Source organism: Homo sapiens, chromosome 6 (genome assembly GCF_000001405.40).
Source record: "Homo sapiens chromosome 6, GRCh38.p14 Primary Assembly".
Lineage (NCBI taxonomy): Eukaryota > Metazoa > Chordata > Mammalia > Primates > Hominidae > Homo > Homo sapiens.
This window is the reverse complement of record NC_000006.12, coordinates 37,912,424-37,936,423: the sequence shown is the minus strand read 5'-3', so window position 1 is coordinate 37,936,423 and position 24,000 is coordinate 37,912,424. Positions and strand designations below refer to the sequence as shown.

Sequence of the window (24,000 nt, the reverse complement as noted above, 5' to 3'; positions counted from 1 at the left end):
TCAGAGCTACTCCAACAACCTTCCATTTCTTAAACATATCTTCTGACTCACTGCCTTATAAAGTATACAATGATCAACAGGTTATAGCTACTTTCTAGTCACCATACTCCTCTCTTCTCCCAAAACTAGTATTTCCAAGGGTTTGTGGGGGATAGAGATGGTGTCACATTAGTAGAGGAGTTACTTCAGTCAGTTCTTTTAAAATTTCTGCCTTCCCCACTTGTGATCATCCTCTTTGATGCTTCTGCCATCCACACTTCTATTTAGGAGGTCAGCAAAACCATTCTGTGAAAAGCACTGCTTTAATGATAGCTGGCCTTCAGTATGCTAGAACAAGAGGTCATCATGAATTAGGTACTAACTATTCCTAAATATTAAACACTGGTCAACTAAAATGCACAAATTCATGAATTGGATTTGCACTCAAACAAAAAAAAATACCATAGGCAGTATCATTTCTACCTTTGTAAGAGGCAGGAATATTCATTAGACTCTATGCTTGACTTTTCATATGTATTTTAACACTGTAGTAGGCTATCGGGTCTAGTTTAAGCTTCATTTCTAAACTACTCAACAGCTCAGAACTGACAAAGATCACAAGAAATCAACTATTAACCTCTTGCCTGAAGACACAAATGAAATATTCCCTATTTTACAAAGCAAATTAGATTCCAAGATTTTCCAAAGCCATACTCCTGCAGTTCACTGGGTTTCAAACTTAAAATCATAATAGTAATATACACATATTTACATTATAACCCATTACACATTATTTTCAACTCAATGCAAGTCAAACAAAGGTTTCACAAAATAACTTTACTATGTGCAATACACTGATATTTTCTATTCTACTCAGAATTTTTTAAATACTAATCATGACCCATTAAATTGTCTACCCACTAATGAGTGACAATACCCAGTTTGAAAAACTGCATTAAGAGGTAGTATTTCAACCAATAAATGTTAATTTGCCATAACTATGTCATAAAATTTTCTCGCTTTTTATATTCATTTACTTATTTAAGTAAAATCATATATAAAACAATATAAAAATATTTAATGAAAGGACAGTGTGACAGGTAGAATATTATCAAGGGGGTAAGAAAAGCCAAAATTAGGCCATAAGAGATCCTCAGACCAGCTCTGATAATTGGAAAGATTTGTGGCAAAATCAATTGATAACTCATGTCCCAGGGTGCTTACATACCATCCTTTTCAATAGTTTAGAAAGTCTCCACAACTTCAAAATGCAAAGCTGTTAAGCAAAACCTTTCTTTAGCAATAATATAAAAATAATCAACACTTTTGACTGGGAAGAATTATATATCAACTAAAAGGTCCTTATGCAAACTCCAGGAATTTCAGGCTTCTCTACCTACACAATAGTCTTAGACTTGAGAGATATAGATCCACATTTCCAAACAAATGTACTGAATTGTAATTTGAGAAAAGAAAATACAGAATATGTGAAAGGGGGACTGACGGGGAAGGTAGAAAAATAACAAATAGGAATTCTTACAGGAATGGAGAGAATATAGTATGGTAAGATTAACTTTTGCTTTTTTTTTTTTTTTTTTTTTTTTTTGAGACAGAGTCTCACTCTGTTGCCCAGGCTGGAATGCAGTGGCACAATCTCAGCTCACTGCAACCTCCACCCACCGGGTTCAAGTGATTCTCCTGCCTCAGCCTCCCGAGTAGCTGGGACTACAGGCATGCACCACTACACTCAGCTAATTTTTTTGTATTTTTAGTAGAGACAGGGTTTCACCATGTTGGTTAGGCTAGTCTCGAACTCCTGACCTCAAATGATCCATCCACCCACCTGGGGCCTCCCAAAGTCCTGGGATTACAGGCGTGAGCCACCGGGTCTGGACTTTTTTTTTTTTTTTTTTTTAAATAGACTAAATGACCTCAGATAAAGAGAATGTAGATGAGCAATTTAAGTCCACTTTACCTCAAATCCTAATACTTGAGTCAATCACTTCCTGGTACTTCCCCAGAATACTTAACTGTAAGTGTCGTAGTTATCCTGGCATAGAAAATATTGGATGATAAAGGTTTCTAGGTCAAGGCCTTTCTCTTAAGACTGAGAAAGAAGTATACTTAAATGTCTTTGTGAAGAAAAGTCCTTTGGAATCGCTTGAACCCGGGAGGCAGAGGCTGCAGTGAGCTGAGATGGCACCACTGCACTCCAGCCAGGGCTACAGAGCCAGATTCCGTCTCAAAAAAAAAAAAGGGCCGGGCGCAGTGGCTTACACCTGTAATCCCAGCACTTTGGGAGGCCAAGGTGGGCGGATCACCTGAGCTCAGGAGTTCAAGGCCACTGTGACCAACATGGAGAAACTCTGTCTCTACTAAAAACACAAAAATTAGCCAGGCGTGGTGGCGCACGCCTGTAATCCCAGCTACTTGGGAGGCTGAGGCGGGACAATCACTTGAACCCGGGAGGCGGAGGTTGCGGTAAGCAGAGATCGCGCCACTGCACTCCAGCCTGGGCAACAAGGGCGAAACTCCGTCTCAAAAAAAAAAAAAAAAAAAAATGAGAGAGAGAGATCCTTTAAACAGTCTTAAATGATTTTAGCCTTTAAAGGTAACAGAGGCCAAACCAGGGTTAATGATAAGATAGTTGTCAAAAAGTTTAAAAAACAAACAAACAAACAAACAAAAAAACCTCTCTCATTTCAAAGAGAGGAATTTTGGTTGAGCTTCGAGTCTTTAGCAAATCCAGCCCAGCCAGGTTGGGCCCTCTTCCACATACATGCAAAGGTCTGATACAAACATTTCTCATTCTAACAATACACAGAAGCATTATAATTTGGTATATAGTTTACCAGCAACTAACATTTCAATGGCTTTTAGCAACTGTCACTCTGCATATACTCATTTCTCCTTTCTTATTCCTTTCCTCTAAATTCAAACATCCCAAGAATATTTTATAAAGGAGAAACAGCTTAAGTAATGATGGCTATTGGGTCAGGTGTGTGCTCACCACTTAGCAGAATATTTCACCAGCAGCAAAACAGTTCTCCAAGTAAACACACACACCCCTAGTTCCTAACCTACAACGTATTCTCTCGGTAAGACTTTAAAGATGTTTTTCCCATTTCATTCAATTTTATGTAAACAAGTTATAACAAACTAATTTTTTCACCACATAGATTTTGAAAAGGAATCTTGAAAAGAAAATGTTTAACCTAGTGGCAAACAATAACTATTTAAAAAGTGATTTTTCCATCTTTTAAAGTACACTGTACATTTTACAATATACTTTAAAAAGAGTCTTTTAAGATCACAGTGGCTTTGGCCAAAATAATCTTTATGTTGTCTTGTAAAACTCATGGCTCTTCTGTAATACTGCATTCACTATACTCTCCTTATGTTCATACTGAGATGACATCCAAAAATGTATTTTTAAAGTTCAATGATCTCTTTTCTTTTGAATTTCTAAAGGTACATAAAATTCTGTTTCAGCAGACAGGATATTAACTAGTCATGCCACGCAAATGCAACTGGAGAAAGCAGTAGTGTGTAGGTAAAAAATATAGAGAGAAGCGAATATTTTCTTTAGATACTTGAAAATGTCCTAATATTTTTATAAAAGCAAAAATGGCAAGGCTGTATAAAATGTAAATAGACACAGATCACGAGACAGATAATTATAAACACAGAAAGTAAAACTGTAACAAGTCCAAAGAAACACAAAGCCCATGGCTGAACTCTAGCTTCATAGTTAAAATTTTTTTAACTTTGTATTCATTTAGGGGCACAAGATAGTTCCTCAGGAGTATTTGATGTGAACCACCTTATTATTCAAAGGTGTCTGGCCTTCTCCCAAAGCCATACTTTACTAAATTACAATGGGGTCTCCATGTGGGGACAAATATATAATCTAATACAGGTTGAGTACCCCTAATTCAAAATGCTTGAGACCAGAAGTGTTGGGATTTGTTTTTCTCAGATTTTGGAACATTTGCACTTTGGAGCATTTCAGATTTGGGATTTGGGGTTCTCAACCTGTATACATTTTGTCTCACTGCTACTTTCGTCTTCACTATAAAGTTAACCTTTCATCAGTGAAGAAGCATTTCTTCATATCTGTAATTGTAGATACATAAGGTAAGCAGCAGAATACAGTCCTTTTATTTATTTATTTTTTTTTTTTTGAGACAGAGTCTCGTTCTGGCTGGAGTGCAGTGGCGTGATCTCGGCTCACTGCAAACTCCGCCTCCTAGGTTCAAGCGATTCTCCCGCCTCAGCCTCCCGAGTAGCTGGGATTACAGGCACGGGCCACCACACCCAGCTAATTTTTGTGTTTTTAGTAGAGACGGGGTTTCGCCATGTTGGCCAGGATGGTCTCGCTCTCCAGACCTCGTGGTCCACCCACCTCGGCCTCCCAAAGTGCTGGGATTATAGGCGTGAGCCACTGCGCCCGGCCTGAATACAGTCCTTTAACATGGCACAAATACTGCTAAAAGCTGAATAAAAACCCACCAATATTTCTTTTCTTTTAAAAACCTAAGTATCTGACAAATTCCAAATTTTGAACCTATAAAAGCTGTCAGCTTCCCCAATTCTTTCCCATCTAACCCCTAGTTTAGGCACAAATGTAACGGTCTAAAGCTTACACCATGATTACTTCCTTGCCCAAATAGCATAATGAATAGATTAAAATTAACAACAACAAAAAAAATCTCTTTAATAAAAATCTAGCCAGCCTCCTCTGAGCCCTCTTCTGGACCAGGCCTCAACCTGGACCTTTAAAAACTACAGACTCTCAAAACAAATGATTTGGTCCACTCCCTCCTTTCACATTAAAAGACTTACACACACTAACATTTCTTTTTTTTGTTTGGTTGGTTTTTTTTTTGTTTTTTTTTTTTTGAGACGGAGTCTCACTCTGTTACCAGGATGGAGTGCAGTGGCGCAATCTCAGCTCACTGCACCTCTGCCTCCCAGGTTCAAGCAATTCTCCTGCCTCAGCCTCCGGAGTAGCTGGGACTACAGGTGCACACCACCACATCCAGCTAATTTTAAATACTAACATTTCTAACAGCTCAAGGTTACCTCCCTAGGATGACCCTAGCCTCTCTCAAATTGTCTGCCTCTTAAAGCTCAAGGCTGCCAAAGAATCTACTGTTTGTTCTAGCCAGCATCTGAAGATAGGCCCTAACTATCCTCTTAGATCATTTACTAAAAAGGGCTTACAACTGTGAATCCTTCCTCTGTCCCTTTGAGCTGTACTCCTACAACTCAGGAGTGTCTTTCTCAAGGACCTGAAAGCCATTCCTTTAAAAATGTAACCATCAGGAAAAATAGGGTATCTATTCCCCAGTCACAGTGTCAGCTAACAGGCACAGCTGGCCTAATCACCATATTTTACCAATCTTTTTAAATTCTTCACTTCTTTGAGTCTACAGATTCCGTTTATCCACCCTGCCAAGTCCCCTGCCATTCTCCCTTTAAAACTCCCAGTCATCTCTGCAAATCAACATTGACTTCATTTCATACTGGACTCTCTTCCCTATTGCAAAAGTGTATTACTGACTAAAACCTGTCCTTAGAACTTTAGCTAGTATGCAGCTTTGTTTACCTTTGACAAAATGAATAAAGAAGGAAAGTTAAACATATCCTAATTAGCAAAGACTTATTTATATAGGATCGCTAGATAGAAAGTTTTTTAAAAAGTAAAAATAAAAAGACCTAAAAGTTTCAACTTCATGAAGGAGTCATAATTCCAGAAGTTAACCAATTACCTCTGGGGCTAGAAAAGGACCTTGGCACATGTCAAGCCCAAGTCCTTCATTTTATAATGATGAATCCAAGGTCCAAAGAGATTACGTGACTTACCCGAGGTGATTTGAATGAGGGATCTGCAGGAGGCTTTTTGTTTTTATAGAGACAAGGTCTCACTATGTTGCCCAGGCTGGTCTCAAACTCCTGGCCTCAAGCAATCCTCCTGTCTCTGCCTCCCAAAGTGCTGGGATTATAGGCGTGAGACACCATGGCAGCCTCTATGATGGATCTGATGATGGGCTAACTCAGCTTGATTCTCTTCCTGACTCCAACATGAAAATATTCTGTTACATTCTCATTGATAGAGCAACATTAACCAATAATCATTCAAGTCAAGATGAGCACGCATTTTTTACAGTTCTACTGTATACCAACAACAGTAAACCAAGGAAAGTTTGTTTGGTGCAAGTACATAGGAGATAGGATTTCATTCAAGGAAAACTGTTTCAACCGTCCTAGGCAAATATATGAAGCACCTTGGTAAGGTGAAACTGCTTTCTCACACAAGCTAAGAAAACAAAACCCCATGCATAAATCCTTTAGGGTCAAATGATTTAGTCTTAAAAAGAACCAAAAAAAAAAAAAGAAAGAAAAATGAAAGTAAATTAAAAAACCCTTTTTCTGCACTTACCAGCAAAGCATTTGGAACAGAGATTCATAGTCTTGCTGGACCTGGGGCAAACAAAAAGAAAAGAAAGAAAGAAGAGCTAAAAACTCCATATCACTCTAATCAAAACATAAGATGTCAGAAACGTAGGCAAAGAACTTTCTGGTCAGGCAACTGAACTAATAAACTGATAAATTAATAACAAGTCCCTAGCTAGCCACCACTCCCCCCTCAACAAAATAAAAATTAAAAAAAAAAAACAAAAATATAAACACTTGGTTTTTATTTTTATTTTTTACCTGTAAATTAGCCAATGTTTGCTTTTATTTATTGCGTATATTAGCAGCTTATATAGCAGCAAGTTCAGAAACATTATAAAATGCCCAGAAGATGGTATGGGAGTCAATTTAAACCACATGATTACCACATTCCCTCTTTTCATACAGAAAAATATATGAAGTTATCACAAATACTTCGTAAATGGGTAAAACTTTCTCCTCATATACACAGTCATTTATCTCTATAACATTAGCTGAACTTTGATCTTTCCTATTTCAGATCCTAATCACATTATGACCTTCTTGTTTAAAATTCTTTCTTCAGATACGCCAATCAAATTAGTTTTCATGTCCTTTCATCCATTAATAATAGCTACAATTCACTGAATACTAACTTGGATGGGCATTTCGCATACATTATCTTATTAATCGTCCCAACATCACTAAGATGGGTATTACCATATTGTTTTGCTTTTAAAACGCACTTTTAAAAAAATCACATTAGCATTTCTGTAACAAGGAAATACCTTAGAATTGGTTACAAGCGATGAATAATTTAACCCGTTTATGCCAGAGGTTGGAATTTTTTGAATTTTTGCAGTGAGACCAGGGCAATGACCTTGAGCAGGATATAAATAATTCCCACATGCTTAGTGTTCCAATAATGGAACACTATGTTACCCCTTCCTCTGCCAAGGCATTATTCAACTTAGAAGGGGGTCTTAGAAATCAAAGACATACAGTCTCATCCCCATTACATAGGTGGGCAGACTGTTCTAGGTCACAAAGCTAGGAACTACAGAAAAATATCTGACCTTGGGTGTAAGCTATCTCCAAAGGCCAACCCAACATCCTTTGTTCACAACACAGCACCTGACAGCACAGCACCCTAGGGACTACATGGTGGGCAATCAATAATGACTTTTCTGGCCAGGCACGGTGGCTCACGCCTGTTATCCTAACACTACAGAAGGCTGAGGGGTGGGCGGAATGCCTGAGCTCAGGAGTTCAAGACCAGCCTGGGCAACATGACAAAACCCCATGTCTACTAAAAATAGAAAAAATTAGCTGGGAGAGGTGGCACACGTCTGTAGCTACTTGGGAGGCTGAGACACAAGAATCGCTTGAACCCAGGAAGCGGAGGTTGCAGTGAGCTGAGATCACACCACTGCACTCCAGCCTGGGCAACAGAGCAAGACTCTGTCTCCAAAAAATAGTAATAATAAATAATAATGACTTTTCTGTTACATTCATCTCACCGCTGCTTCCCTTCCTGATCCTCTCCCAAGCGGACTCATTCTTAACAGCTCTTCCTTCCAAAGACCTCCTGGAGTGCTCTACGTTAGGCAAGCTGACCTATTTAAAACTTCATTCCTCAGCAACTCCATTCCCAAGATTTGAGCCTTTGACCAGAACTGCCCCTAAAAATAGAATAAGCCAACCTTCTTTTGCCCTCTTTACTATGTTTTACAATTAAAGCAAGCCTCCCTCAGGAAGTATTCTCTGATGCTGATTGTTTGCCCCATGTGCTGGAACCAAAGACCTAACAGCAATTGTCACAAGATGGGGGAAAGGGGGTCATTATTTCTTTCCCAAAAAAGATGCTGTCAACAAGTAGATATTCCTTTAGAATCCTGCTTAATATAAACACAACAGCAATGAGGAAAATTGAGTATCAACAAGTGAATAAGATGAGTAAAAAGATAAAGAGATGTGTTAATGGTAGCATCTAACATTTATTACATGCCTATAATGTGGCAGGCACAATACCAGATACCTTCAACCCCATTTTACCATTGAGAAAACAGAGGTCCCAAGAGGGTATGTAACTTGCCGAAGATTACAGAACTAGTAAGTGAATTAATCTGGTCTAATTCCAACACCTGTATTCTATTCATCATGCCAAACTTCGGCCTCTGCCCCAATATAGAAGCTGAGGGGCATATACCAGTCCAGAACCAGCACTCTGGTGGTTTGTGAGAATGTCTATGGAAATCAAGTCAGTTCCCTGAGAAAGTAAAGCTTCTCATCTAGAAGAAGCACAACTTCTGCTCTCCCTGACCCTGCAGGCATATAGGAAAACAACCCAAGATTCCCAGTCATTTCAGTTCCAACGCAAGGAAGAAGTGAGAATGAAGAAAATCCTACATGCCTGTTTTAACTAACTGAACTTGAACTAGAGGCGCCTCTCCATCCTAAAGAGATGACTAGTATGGATGCAGTATACACACATCTGTAGTTTGCAGAACATTCTCTATTGTTGGAATATTGGGATTGTCCCCTCCCCTCTCATCTCCACTCAACTTCTCTGAAGGGGCCAGAATTCCCTGCCAGAGAATCAGGCGCCCTTCTGATGCGGTCACTATCTCTTGTCCACGCAATGCCACAAAAAGCCAGATATAACTCATATAACTTCTGCTACTCCCAATTGCCCAGCAGGAATCATGGAAAGCCTTCAGAGGATAACTTGGCAACCAGTGTGCCAGTTTTAACATCTGAGTTTCAGAAACCTGGTTTAAAAAAATGGCAAAATGGCCTTTTTCTCAGAGTCCCTTGATCTCTCTTCAGATAATTTATGTATTTAAAATGCCTACCATACCTATGTATTACCTAAATGACATCCATTCCACATTCTGGATAGAAATTTTTCAGCAACATGGTTGTCAATCAGGTTATAAAAGAAATAATATAACTACTGATATTATTACTCAAAACAGAGATGTTTTAAATCTAAAATAAACCAGACTTTGGCTACCGAAATAATGGTCATTCTAAACAATGCCAGCTTGGATCACATGGGTCAAGAACACTGAATCCAAAAGAACTGGCAGAGACTTCCGGGAACTTTGATCCTTTCTCATGTTGAACATGGGAAACTTGAAGCTAATCACAGGCATACAACTACTCGCTACCTAACAAAAAGCAGTGTAATCAACTTGCATGGTCTTGGAACAGACAACAGAGCTCTCTTTTTGACAGTAAGCATGAAAGGTAAAGTTTCACTGGAGCAGTGAAACTACTCTTATTGAGCTCTCCAATGGGTACCACGTTTCTAAAACCAAGGGGTAGTAGGTTGAATAATGGCTACCAAAAGATATCAAGTCTTAATCCCGAAGTTACCTTACTCAGGGGGTGGAGGGTCCTTTCCAAATTAATTAATGATTTTGAGATGAGATTACCCTGGATTATCCAGGTGAACCCTAAATGACATCACAAGAGAGAGAGGCAAAGAACATTTTTGCAAGGGAGTAGCAAAGGGAATTCAGAAAGACACCCAAAGTAAACAGCCACATGAAGATGGAGGCAGAAGCTGGAGTAACAGGGTTACAAGCCCAGGAATGCTGGGGCAGCCCCCAGAAGCTGGAAGAGGTGAAGAATGGATTCTCCCTCAGAGCCACCTTGGAGGGAAGGAAGCCCTCCCAGATCTTGGACTTCTAGTCTCCAGAACTTTGAGAAAATAAATTTCTATTATTCTGTCACCAACTTTGTGGTAATTTGTTACAATAGCCTCAGAAAACTAATATACAAGGGTTATGTATCTGATCATAGCATATTCCCTCTCAGTAGCATTCAGCTAGATCCATCCTTCTTTCCGGAACACTCTTCACATACCTTCATGTCACTCAAATCCCAGATCAAACAACCCTCTTCCACCACAACTGCTCCCATTTAGCCACCTTTGCTACTGCTCCTCCCCTGCAAAGACCCTTAACTGGAGGTCCAGAAACTCAGTCTTCATTACCTCTACTTTTCATTTGGTAGTGATCTCCCACACTTTCATGGTTTTAAAATACTGTATCTATACACGAAAGATGCAAAAATGTTTACCTTCAATCCCAAATCTCTTTACCTTGCTCCAAACTCACATATCTAACTGCCTATTTGACATCTCAACGTTTGACTCAAACTTAGTATTTCAAATTAGAATTCTCAGTATTTCCCACAAATTTGCCTGACCCATCTTTTCCACTCATATAAATGGGAAACACCTTCTTCCCAGTTGCTCACATCAAAAATCTAGAAACCTTTTTTTTTTTTTTTTGAGATGGAGTGTAGCTCTGTTGCCCAGGCTGGAGTGCAGGAGCATGATCTCAGCTCACTGCAACCTCCGCCTCCTGGGTTCAAGCGATTCTCCGGCCTCAGCCTCCCAGGTAGCTGGGATTACAGGCGCCCGCCACCACGCCCGGCTAATTTTTCTATTTTTTAGTAGAGACAGGTTTTCACCATGTTGGCCAGGCTGCTCTCAAACTCCTGACCTCAGGTGATCCGCCCACCTCGGCCTCCCAAAGTGCTGGGATTACAGGCATGAGCCACCGCGTCCAGCAGAAACCATTTTTGATTCCCGTCCTTCCTGTAGTCTTACAGATACAACACTCAGCAAGATGCATTAGTTCTACTTACAAATAGATCTCAAATCTATGTATTCCTCTCCTTCCTTAATGCTTCTATGATGGCCACCATTAACTCTCACCTAGGCCACTGTAAATAGCTTTTTATTGGTCTTCTCGTTCCCATTCTTGACCCTATACAATGATTTTTCCACATAGCAGCTATGGTCATCTTTTAAAACAAGTTGGAGCGTGTTATTTTCTTGCTTAACACTATCCAACAATTTCCTATTGAGTATAAAATCCAAACTTTTTACCTGGAGAAAGTTTTTAAAAAAAAAAGTCTGGAAGTCTCCTTGTGATCTGACTATGCCTACTTCCCCTCTTGCTCTCTTATCATTCTGCCCCCTCATTCACCACATTTCAACCATGCTTGCCTTTTCTCTGTTCTCTGACTGTGCTGTAGGGCTCATGCCCATGCTGTTCCCTGTACCCCCAAATCACTGTAATGCTGTCTCTTTCTTGTTGCTCATATCCTAGTTCAAACCTCCTCACTGGCCTTCCCTCAACAACCCAATTTATTTTTTTATTTTTTGTTTTTTTGAGACTGGGTCTCATTCTGTTGCCCAGACCAGAGTGCCCAATCATAGCTCACTGCAGCCTTGACCTCCTAGGCTCAAGCCATCCTCCCACTATAGCCTCCCAAGCAGATAAGACTCTAGGCACACATCAGTCCATTATTTTTTGTAAAGATGGTGTCTTACTTTGTTGCCCAGGCTGATCTCAAACTCCTGGGCTCAGGTGATCCTCCCACCTCAGCCTCCCAAAATGCTGGGATTACAGGTGTGAGCTACAACTCCTGTGGCCTGACCACCCAATTTAAATCAGTTCCTCTTCCTGTTTTCTTCTTTCACATCATTCTTTGATATCTCACCACATGCCTGTTTGCCTGCTATCTTTCACCACTAGAATGTAAGTGCCATAAGAGCAAAGACTCCTTTGGTCACTCTTGGTTGGTATTTAACAGGTACCCAATAAATGCTTGTTAAATGAAGAAATAAAATCTCTTTTGAAGGCCTGAACCATTAAAAAAAAAAAAAAAAAAGCACTTAAGTAGATATTTGAAATGTATTTTGTAGAGGTCAAACACCAGCTAGAAGACAGGTTCTCCACAATTCCTGTGGCTGTCAGCCTGTCATCTTTCTGGAGCTCTGTCACAATGCATTACCTATGGCTGGTAGATAACGTCATCCTATGTATCTGGCCATGATCTGTCACTCAGAATATAACAGGTGGCAGACACTTTTAAAAGTTTCTTTCTAATGACACGGAGTGAGAAATCTGCTTAAATTTTTTTCTTTTTCTAATAATGTTTAATAGTATGTTCTGGTTTTGAAAATACATACCCCTTGAACAGAATGTAGAAAAAAAAACAAAAAGTAAAAACTAAAACTCATTTATAATTCCCCAAAATAAGAAATACTTTTTTAGATAGATATCTATAATTCAGAATTTATTATATTTACAGTATTGGTTGTTGTATGGTATGTTCACAGGTGTTCATTTTATTATGCTTCATACCATATATACACATTACATATAGTCATGCACTGCATAATGATACTTTCATCAATGACAGTTCACATACACAACAGAAGTCCCATAAGATTATTATGCAGCCAAAAACTTCCTGTCACCTAATGGCATCATAGCTGTAGTGTTAGAGCAACACAGTAAACAAACCAACTGTGCTGTCAGTCATATAAAAGTCTAGCACATACAGTTATGTATAGTACATAATACTTGATAAAAAATGATAAACATCTATGTGATTGGTTTGTGTATTTACTATACTTTATATCATTATTTTAGACTGTAATTCTTCTACTTACTAAAAAAAGAAGAGGAAGAAGTAGTTGTTAACTGTAAAGCAGCCTTAGGCAGCTCTTTCAGGAGGTATCCAGAAGAAGGCATTGTTATCATGGAGATGACAGCTCCATACCAATTACTACCCCTGAAGACCTTCCAGTGGGAAAAGATGTGGAAGCAGAAGACAGTGATGCTCCTGACTCTGTGCAGGCCTAGGATAATTGTGTGCATGTCTGTGTGCTGGGGCCTAACAAAAAAGCTTTAAAAGCAAAAAATAAAATATTTTTTAAATAAAGGTGCCAGGCCTGGTGGCATGCACCTGTAGTCCCAGCTACTCAGGATGCTGAGAAGGAAGGATCACTTAAGCCCAGGACTTTTGAGTCCAGCCTAGGCAACAGAGTGAGACTCTGTCAATCAATCAATAAAGAAAACTTATAGAATAAGGATATAATGAAAATATTTCTGTGTAACTATACAATGTGTTTGTGTTTTAAGCTAAGTGTGATTACAAAAGAGTCATCAGTTTAAAATTTTTTTAAAGTTTATAAGGTAAAAAAGCTATAGTAAGCTAAAGCTAATTTATTATTAAAGAAAATTTTAAAAATAAACTTAGTGTAGCCTAAGTGTACAGTGCTTATAACATCCACAGTAACATAATGTCCTAGGACCCTCACATTCACTCACTACTCATTCACTGACTCACCCAGAGCAATTTCCAGTCTTGTAAGCTCCATTCATGGTAAGTGCCTGGGACAGGTGTACACTTTTTTATCTTTCATGCCACATTTTTACCACACCTTTTCTATGTTTAGATACACAAATACAACTGCCTACAGTATTCAATATAGTAACATGTTCTACAGGTTTGTAGCCTAGGAGCAACAGGCTATACCATATAGTGTAGGTGTGGAGTAGGCTATACCACCTAGGTTTGTGTAAGGACACTCTATGATGTTCAACATTTGTTTCCACAATGAAACCGACTAACAGCACATTTCTCAGAATATGTCCCCGTCATGAAGCAATGCATGACTATTTTCTTTTGTGTATATACAAAAATTTCATAAAGAAATGCATAATGAAAATCTACAGATATCATTTTTTCAATTTACATTTACATTTAATATTTATCACGCCTTAAATATTCTTCAAAAACATGTGTGTTGCTCTGTGACAATCCATTACATACTAATACTATAATGTAGTCACACTCTTACTACTGTTGGATGTATAATTGTTTTTCCCCAATTTTTCCTATTATAAATATTGCTATAATGAGCATTTTTGGACTTAAATCTTTAATCATAAATCTGTATTTGAATGGCTTTAAGACTGATTCTGAGAAGGAGACCTTACTAGATGAAAAAGTATATTTTGGTAAATATTGCAAAATTACCTTCCAGGTAAGTTCTACATACTATTTTGAATACATCTTTGCCAACAACGTTTTATTTTATTTTATTTTATATTTTATATTTCATTTATGAGACAAGGCCTGGCTCTATTGCCCAGGCTGGAGTGCAGTGGTGTGATCTCGGCTCACTGTGACCTCCGCCTCCTGGGCACAAGCCATCCTCCCACCTTAGCCTCCAAAGTAACTGGGACTACAGGTACATGCCACCACACTCAGCTAATTTTTGTGTGGGTTTGTTTTTTTTTTTTTTTTGCAGAGATGGGGTTTTGCCATGTTGCCCAGGCAGGTCTCTGACTAGTGAGCTCAAGCAATCTACCTGCCTCAGCCACCCAAAGTGCTGCGATTACAGGTATGAGCCACTGCACCTGGCCAACACTGTTGTACTTTTTAATTTTTACTTGATGGCAGAAATGATTATGTTGTTAAATGTTTCTTCTAAATTTTTTTTTCAATTTTGAAGGATATCAATGTTTTAATGACAAATTAGCCTTCATGCTAATTCATCTTGGGGAATTCTAGTAACAGTCCTAATTTCTGGGAATTCTGGAAACATCTTATAATATTTTCCTGACACATACACAAGACTACTATCTCTCCCCACTCAGAGAAACATACACATGCAAAAAACTATTTTAATATAAATATGGAAATAAAAAACAACTCTTTCACCATATCAATGTTCCTCAACAACTTTTTTTTTTTAACCCAACTGGAAGGAAAAACCTAGGGCACAAGAAAAATAGAGAAAAGTATAAAAAAAAACAGTACCAGCACGTAAGTATACCAAGCTCTTCCAGTCCTATGGTCCCTGAACTTCTCTACACTAGACATGTATCATAAAACTAAAAAAATCTAGACTACAAAGAAAGTTCCTTCTTCAGTGAAGGGAGTCAATCTGTAAAAACTGTCACATTTCTAAAAACTAGTCTGTAAAAACACAATCTGTAAAAATTAGTCACATTTCTGAATTCAACCTCTTCTAATAATCCAGACAAAGGAGGAAAGGGGAGGGATGGGTAAGAGGACAAAGAGAAGGAGAAGGCGGCGAGGAGTGGGGTGGTAAAGGAAAGGAAGGGAAAAACAAACCACAATACCTACTACACTCTAAGTCATCCCAGTTTTCTCAGAGGTAAAATTAGAATATTAAAGACTCCTAACAATCTGCTTCCCGCCTCATACACATATAGCCAGAAAAACTAACTTCCTACAGCAGCCAGGAAGCAGCCAACAGCTCTACTAAATCACCACTCTCTACTCACCCTAGGCAAACACGAAAAAGACCAGTTCAAACAGATGACATCCTAGCTGGCAATGACAAAGGAGGCTTTCAGGGGTGCAACCAGCCTGTCCAAACTGTTACACATCACTCTAAATCATTCAGACCATGTCTGCAAATTTTCTTTTTAAGGAAATATTACAATGGAGAAGATGGAGCTGTTAATAAGGGTATTAGTTTCTATAATGTAGCAATATGGATCCTGCTCACTTTAAAAACTAATTTTAATGTAACAATTTAGATTCCAAGTGGGTTACTGTAATTAGCAGTGGTTTTAGCATTTTATGCCCAAATTCAAGGACAGCAGAGCAAAATGCCTCGATTTTTGTGTGTTTCAAGTACTTGCACTAAAAGTTATAGTGTATAGATGTAAAACTAGTCCCATTATCATCTGTGGCCCTGTATATATTACTGAAAGTTTAGTCCAGCACCATCTAACAATTACAGACAAGATGAGGCATGGCCATCAATAAACTAGTCAAAAGAAGAACAAGAAAAATTAAAATATATGAATGAAAGCCCCTGTAGAAAAGGAGAAAAAAAAAAACAATGAAGTGAATTAAAATGCCAAATAATTTTTCCACATAAGAGAAACTTAATGAGGCTATCAACTCTAACACACCCAATATATACAATGATTGCAACTGTCCCACTATATATCCCCAAACATAAGATAAGGTTTTCTTCCCTAAAGTTATCTTTCAGAAAGAAGGAATTGCTTTACAATTAAATCCTTACTTTTGAGGCAGACACCAATTATTTTATACTAAATACTAACAAGGGCCAAAAAAAAAAAAAAAAAAAAAGCTTCAAAAAAAACCTGGAAGTGAGAAAGAGAAATCCAAGTATGCAGTCATGCCCAGGGAAAGGAATGGTGTTTGGGATTTCAAAAGAGGAATGTAGAGTCCCAGTCCCAGAGGCATCTCTCCAGTTAGTCTGTGAAATGGCTGAGACAGTGAAGTTCTCATCACTAGTCAGGGACACTGAGGTATGGAAGGATGTCAAGCCAACTCTAATATTGGATACTTTGTCATGGTTACAACAACAAACTAGTTTTATAAAAAGGGGAGGATTCGGTTTTAAACACAGATTTAATACTTATTTCTGGAGAGTGATTACAAATAGTAGCTGCCATTGAAGAAGGCCTCTGAAGATCTTCTAGAAAGCAATGCAGTAACAGCCTTGAAATGTGAGGAAGATCATAAATGACGTCAAGATGATGACAACTCTCCTAATGTTACATGAATGAATTCTTGTGGCTTGGGATAAATTTTCCAGTGACTGCAACATTTACAGATTTTAAAGTGCTTTATCTCAAACAACTTGGAGGCTAAAAAAAAAAATGAATGTGATATTCTCTGAAAAACCATGGTCAATAACTTTTAAAACGGCTTGGTAAATATTAAATAATAATTTGGTAAATATTGAAGTCTGATGTCTGTGCAGACATGGAGAATTTAAATCTGTTCATAACTAGGAAAAGTAACATTTTAAAATTTATATTACGAGCATATACAAATTACATATAATTTTATATAATCCATGACCTTTAAATATGCATGTGCAGTTACCATCAGGACAAAATGGGTGAACATATATATAAGATCTCTCAGCCCGGCGCGGTGGCTCACGCCTGTAATCCCAGCACTTTGGGAGGCCAAGGCAGATCATGAGGTGAGGAGATTCAGACCACCCTGGCCAACATGGTGAAACCCCGTCTCTACTAAAAATACAAAAATTAGCTGGGCGTGGTAGCGCATGCCTGTAATCCCAGCTACTCGGGAGGCTGAGGCAGGAGAATCACCTGAACCAGAGAGTCGGAGGTTGCAGTGAGCCAAGATTGCGCCACTGCACTCCAGCCTGGGCAACAGAGCGAGACTCCGTCTCAAAAAAAAAAAAAAAAAAAAGGCATTTTTCATGTTTTGAAAACACACAGAAAACTTCCCAACCATCTAGTACAAGAGCAAGTATCTGAGAATTAAACTGAGAATGACAAATTTAAGAGAGATAACAATAAGGTATTATCTGACCTTATTTTTCTTCTGGCTAACAATGTTGCTTTTGAAAATAGGTGGGGTTGGGAGAACAACAACATTTATGGAGCTCAGAGTACTTTTTCCCAAAGTGTGTCAAAATAATTAAATATTCACCTGTCCTACCCAAGTGCCAAATATTTTTGCTTCATCCACTCATCCACTCTCATTAAGATAATTCAGGCTTACAGAGAGAGGCTCTGATTTATCCATATTTATGGTAAATTAAATCAAAGGCATGATAATTTTAATGAAAGATGAAAAGTAACCTAAAGTATTATTATTAGATCTTTCCTTGTCAGAAAATGAGACATAAACCTGGGAGATAATAGAGTTACAAGGGTTCAAACTACAAGGTTAAACAGGCTAGCAAGGAAGCTGTATGGCTGAGAAAGAAAAGCACAAGGTACTTCTAGAAGCTGGAGGATATCCAGGAAAAGACATCTACACAGGCCAGGCGCAGTGGCTCACGCCTGTAATCCTCGCACTTTGGGAGGCTGAGGCAGGTGGATCACAAGGTCAGGAGATCGAGACCATCCTGGCTAATATGGTGAAACCCCATCTCTACTAAAAATACAAAAAATTAGCCAGCGTGGTGGTGGGTGCCTGTAGTCCCAGCTACTTGCGAGGCTGAGGCAAGAGAATGACGTGAACCCGTGAGGCAGAGCTTGCAGTGAGCCGAGATCACACCACTGCACTCCAGCCTGGGCAACAGAGCGAGACTCCATATCAAAAAAACAAAAACAAAACAAAACAAAAAAAGACTTCTACACGATGCAACATTTCTGTTCATGTCATTCAGGTAAGATAAAAATACCGACAGAACATCTACAAAATATGGAGGAGGAGAAAGCAATATCTAGCAATATGCACATATAAGAAAAATTTTAATGTATACATAATGTCACTGACATATTTTTTAAATGTCATTTGTACTTCAACATCTTTCATTTGTTCAAATTCCAAACATTTTATACCTTACATCAATCTACTAGGCCATTCTCAGGGAGTTTGTGAAAGAGTCAGGATACCACACCTACGACGAAACTAGATAAGGAATGGTTGAAAGGTGACAGCAGAAAATAAACTGCTTTCCTTATTCCCAGTCCAATGCTCACTGACAAGTGAAGCTCAAAGTTCAAAATATTCATTTCCTATTTTAATTATTCATCACAAAATACAAGATTGACCAGAGTTTGCAAGAGAAAATTATCTGGTTATAACCCCCAGCAAAAAAACAGAAGGGAACTCAAGAGTACATCTTTTCTATCTCTGCCTCAAAAAGACTTAAAGTATTCCTGTTCTACAATCACCAGAGATTCTATTGCTTTTTGTGTATCATATTTCATTGCCTTTGTAATCATAAATTTCTAATGTCCAACACATATTTCCTCCCACTGTTGTAAACTTTATAATTCTGTCTTCAGGGTAAAAACAGTTGCTACAGGGGTAGTGTTAAGAGCAATGACTTGGGAAGAAAGGGCTTAGCTTGAAGGTGGGACGTCGCAATTGGGTTTTGTCACCCATTAAAATAAAGTGAGCTACTGAGACCAATGACCGCTAACATTCTATAAATCTATGATCACACAATGATATACAGTAGTCCCCCATTATCCTTGAGGGATACATTTCAAGACTCCCAGCAGAAGCCTGAAATCATGGATAGTACTGAACTCTATATATACTGTGTTCTTCCTATACAAACAGATTTCCAAATTTATAAATCCGACACAGTAAAAGATTAACAACAATAATTAACAGAACAATTTTAACACTATGTCAGCATCACTATGTTTGTGCTTTGGGGCCATTATTAAGTAAAATAGGATTACTTAAACACAAGCACTGAGATACCATGACAGATACCATGACAGTCTACCTGATCACCAGGACAGCTACTAACAGGCAGGTAGTGTATACATAGTGTGGTTATACTGGAGAAGGGGATGATTCGCCACCAGGGCAGGACAGAGCAGAACAGCATGAGATGTCATGATGCTATTCAGAATGGTGTGCAACTTAAAACTTATGTTTATTTCAGGAGCTTTCCATTTAATACTTTCACAACATGGTTGACTGCAGGTACCAGAAACTGCGAAATGTGAAAACATGGATAAAGGGAGACCACTGTAATTATACATGGCATACCTTACTTTTTTCTTTTTTCGAGACAGAGTCTTGCTCTGTCACCAGGCTAGAGTACAGTGGCGCAATCTCAGCTCACTGCAACCTCTGCCTCCAGGGTTCAAGCAATTCTCCTGCCTCAGCCTCCTGAGTAGCTGGGATTACAGGCACGTGCCACCACGCCCAGCTAATTTTTTTTTATTTTTAGTAGAGACAGCGTTTCACCGTGTTAGCCTGCATGGTCTTGATCTCCTGACCTCGTGATCTGCCTGCCTTGGCCTCTCAAAGTGCTGGGATTACAGGCATGAGCCACCGTGCCCGGCTGGCATACCTGGTTTTATAGCACTACAGTTAACCACACTTTGGAGGTACTGTACTTTTTACAAGTTGAGGGTTTATGGAAACCCTGCATTGAGCAAGTCTTTGTTTCAACAGCACGTGCTTACTTCATATCTGTTTCACATTTTGATAAGGTTTGCAATATTTCAAACATTTTCATTATTATTATATCTACAATGGTGATCTGTGATCAGTGTCTTTAATGTCTATTGTCATTGTTTTGGGACACCATAAACTATGCCCATACAAGCCAGCAAACTTTTTTTTTTTTTTTTAAGTTAAAAAAAACACAGCAGCCGGGCACAGTGGCTCATGCCTGTAATCCCAGCACTTCAGGAGGCCGAGGCGGGCGGATCACCTGAGGTCAAGAGTTTGAGACCAGCCTGACCAACATGGTGAAACCCTGTCTCTACTAAAAATAAAAAATTAGCTGGGCGTGGTGGCACATGCCTGAAATCCCAGCTACTTGGGAGCCTGAGGCAGGAGAATCACTTGAATCTGGGAGGCAGAGGTTGCAGTGAGCTGAGATCGTGCTACTGTACTCCAGCTTGGGCAACAAGAGTGAAGCTCCGTCTGAAAAAATAAATAAACAAAAAATTTTTTAAAAACACATAGCATCAGGGGAGAGTGCAAACGCAGCCTCCCACTACCATAAATTATGCAGTCAAGTTTCTCACATTTGTGGAAAATTGCAGGGGTCAGCACATCCAGAGTGCAATGGATAAGCCCAAGGTAGCAAACTTCATCAATAAATGTTATGTGTGTTCTGATCACTCTGCCAACTGGCCATTCCTCCATCTGTCTCCCATTTTCTTGGGACACTATTAAAATTAGGTCAATAATGCTACAATGCCCTCTAAGTGTTCAACTGAAAAGAGTCACATGTCTCTTACTTCAAATCAAAAACTAGAAATGATTAAGCTTAGTGAGAAAGGCATGTTGAAAGCCAAGATAGGCCTAAAGCTAGGCCTCTTATGCCAGTTAGCCAGGTTGTGAATGCAAAGAAAAAGTTCTGAAGGGAAATTTAAAATCCTACTCCAGTGAACATACGAATATGCAGAAAGTTTTAGTATCAAGACAGAAGATCAAACCAGCCATAATATTCCCTTAAACCAAATCCTAATCCAGAACAAGAGCCTAACTCTCTTCAATTCTATAAAGGCTGAGAGAAGTGAGGAAGCTGCATAAGAGAAGTGTGAAGATAGCAGAGGTTGGTTCATGAGGTTTAAAAAAAAGAAGCCATCTCCATAACAAAAATGCAAGGTGAAGCAGCAAGTGCTGTTGTACAAGCTGGAACAAGTTATCCAAAAGATCTAGCTAAAATGAAGGTAGCTACACTAAACAACAGATTCTCAATGCCAATGAAACAGTCTTATACTAGAAAATGATACTACAGAGGACTTCGTAGTTAGAAAGGATAAGTCAATGCTGGGCTTCAACGTTTCAAAGAACCAACTGATTCTCTTGTTAAAGGCTAAGGCAGCTGGTGACTTTAAGTTGAAGCCAGTGATCAGCTACTATTCCAAAAATCCTAGGGCCCTTAAGAATTATGGGTCACACCTGGCCAGGCACGGTAGCTCACACCTGTAATCCCAGCACTTTGGGAGGCCGAGGCAGGCAGATCACGAGGTCAGGAGATCAAGACCATCCTGGCTAACACAGCGAAACCCCGTCTCCACTAAAAAAAAAAGAAAAAAAAAGAAAGAAAGAAAGAAAGAAAATAATTATGGGTCACACCTGTGATCCCAGTGATCCCAGCACTTTGGGAGGCCAAGGCAGGCTGATCACTTGAGGCCAGGATTTCAAGACCAGCCTGGCCAACATGGCAAAACCCCATCTCTACTAAAAATACAAAAATCAGCCAGGTGTGGTGGTGTACACCTGTAATCCCCACTACTCAGGTGGCTGAGACAGGAAAATCGCTTGAACACAGGAGGCAGAGGTTGCACCACTGCGCTCCAGCACCCCAGCCTGGGTGACAGAATGAGACCCTGTCTCAAAAAACAAAACAAAACAACTATGCTAAATCTACTCTGCCTATGCTCCAGGGACGAAACAACAGGGTCTGGAAGATAGCACATCTGTTTACAGGATGGTTTACTGAATATTTTAAGCCCACTGTTAAGAACTACTGCTCAGAAAAAAAAATTCCTTTCAAAATACTGCTGCTCACTGACAACACACCTGGTCACCCAAGAGTTCTGATGGAGATGTTCAAGGAAATGAATGCTGTTTTCATGCCTGCAAACACAACATTCATTCTGTAGCCCATGGATCAAGGAATCATTTCAGCTTTCAAGTCTTATTAAGAAATACATTTCATAAGAATATAGCTGCCAGCCAGGTGCAGTAACTCACACCTGTAATCCCAGCACTTCGGGAGGCTGAGGTGAGCAGAACACCTGAGGTCAGGAGTTCAAGACCAGCCTGGCCAACATGGCGAAACCCCATCTCTACTAAAAATGAAAAAATAAAATAAAAAAAATTAGCCAGGCATGGTGGCCTGTGCCTATAGTCCCAGCTATTCGGGAGGCTGAGGCAGGAGAATCGCTTAAACCCGGGAGGCGGAGGTTGCAGTGAGTCAAGATCACACCATTGCACTCCAGCCTGGGCAACAAGAGCAAAACTCTGTCTCAAAAAAAAAAAAAAAAAAAGAATATAGCTGCCATAGACAGCTGGGCAAAGTAAATAATAGACTATTTTCTGGGAAGGACTGACCATTCTAGTTGCCCTTAAGAACATCTGTGATACCTCTTCATGGGAAGAGGTCAAAAAAGCAACATTCACAGGAGTTTGGAAGTTGATTCCAACTCTCATGGATGGCTTTGAGGGGTTCCAGATTTCAGTGAAGGAAATAACTGTAGATGTGGTGGAAACAGCAAGAGAACTAGAATCAGAGGTAGAGCCTGAAGATATGAATCACTGCAATGTCATAATAAAATTGAAATGAATGAGTAATGAATGAAAATGGTTTCTTGAGTTAAATCTACTCCTGAAGATGTTGTAAACACTGTTGAAATAACAAAGGATTTAGAATATTACATAAACTCAGCTGATAAAGCAGCAGCAGGGTTCGAGAGGATTGATTCCAATTCTGAAAGAAGTTCTACTGTGGGTAAAATGCTATCAAACAGCATTACATTCTATAGAGAAATATTTCATAAAAAAGAGGCAATTGATGCAGCAAACTTCATTGTTGTCTTATTTTAGGAAACTGCCAGAGCCCCCACCCAGCCTTCAGCAACCACCACCTTGATCAAGGGAAAATCCTCCACCAGCAAAAAGTTGTGCTTCACTGAAGGTTTGGATGATTGTTAGCAGATTTTTAAGCAAAAATATATCTTAATTAAAGTATGTACATTTTTTAGACATAATGCTATTATACATTTAACAGACTGCAGTATGGTATAAACATAACTTTTATATGTACTCGGAAACCAAAAAATTTGTGTAACTTGTGCTATACTGTGGTGGTCAGGAACAAAAACTGCATTATCTGTAAGGTATACCTGTGTAATTTATTAAGAGAATTACTAAATTTCCTAATATTTCTAAACTAAGTATCTACTACAACATTCATCTACAGGACTATTTACTAGTTTTTCAAACAGTTTTCTCACTCAGAACATTTCTTTCTGATATCCCTATCATATGCTTACACTGTGAAATACTAAGTACAGTGAAGCCCTGTAATTTCCATAAGCACCATTCCAATTATATGACTTCTTATCAATGATTTTGAATGCAAAGGCATTATCAGCTTAACAATAACCCACAACACTTGGACCAACTACAAAAGCATTATCAATGACCCTTATTTAACTGGTTTTTCTCAGCACTTTGGGATACTTTGTACTATCATGTGTAGTACAAAAACTCTACTCCCATACCAAATTTCAACAACTATTTACTTTCCTTAAGAAAATTATCTTGCCCTGA

General features: G+C 38.9%; 1 protein-coding gene and 1 pseudogene across 3 annotated transcripts in view, besides 2 other annotated features; both read right to left on the bottom strand.

The window, feature by feature from the left end:
- ZFAND3 (zinc finger AN1-type containing 3) overlaps positions 1–24,000 on the bottom strand; it is a 334,898-nt gene that overhangs the window by 218,201 nt on the left and 92,697 nt on the right. For all 3 annotated transcript variants that reach the window (NM_021943.3, XM_011514790.3, NM_001410904.1), the window contains exon 2: positions 6,425–6,465. In NM_021943.3, coding sequence (NP_068762.1) covers positions 6,425–6,465 — 41 coding nt within the window. The remainder of the gene's footprint in view (positions 1–6,424; positions 6,466–24,000) is intronic.
- Positions 7,286–7,787: an enhancer, noted in NCBI's record as "H3K4me1 hESC enhancer chr6:37896413-37896914 (GRCh37/hg19 assembly coordinates)". NCBI's record gives its function as "activates a minimal SCP1, AML or CMV promoter by ChIP-STARR-seq in naive H9 embryonic stem cells {active_cell/tissue: H9 hESC(naive)}" and the evidence as "EXISTENCE:reporter gene assay evidence [ECO:0000049][PMID:30033119]".
- Positions 11,814–11,883: a silencer, noted in NCBI's record as "silent region_17159". NCBI's record gives its function as "represses an Ori minimal core promoter by ATAC-STARR-seq in GM12878 lymphoblastoid cells {active_cell/tissue: GM12878}" and the evidence as "EXISTENCE:reporter gene assay evidence [ECO:0000049][PMID:35858748]".
- On the bottom strand, positions 20,682–20,851 carry RNVU1-33 (RNA, variant U1 small nuclear 33; annotated as a pseudogene).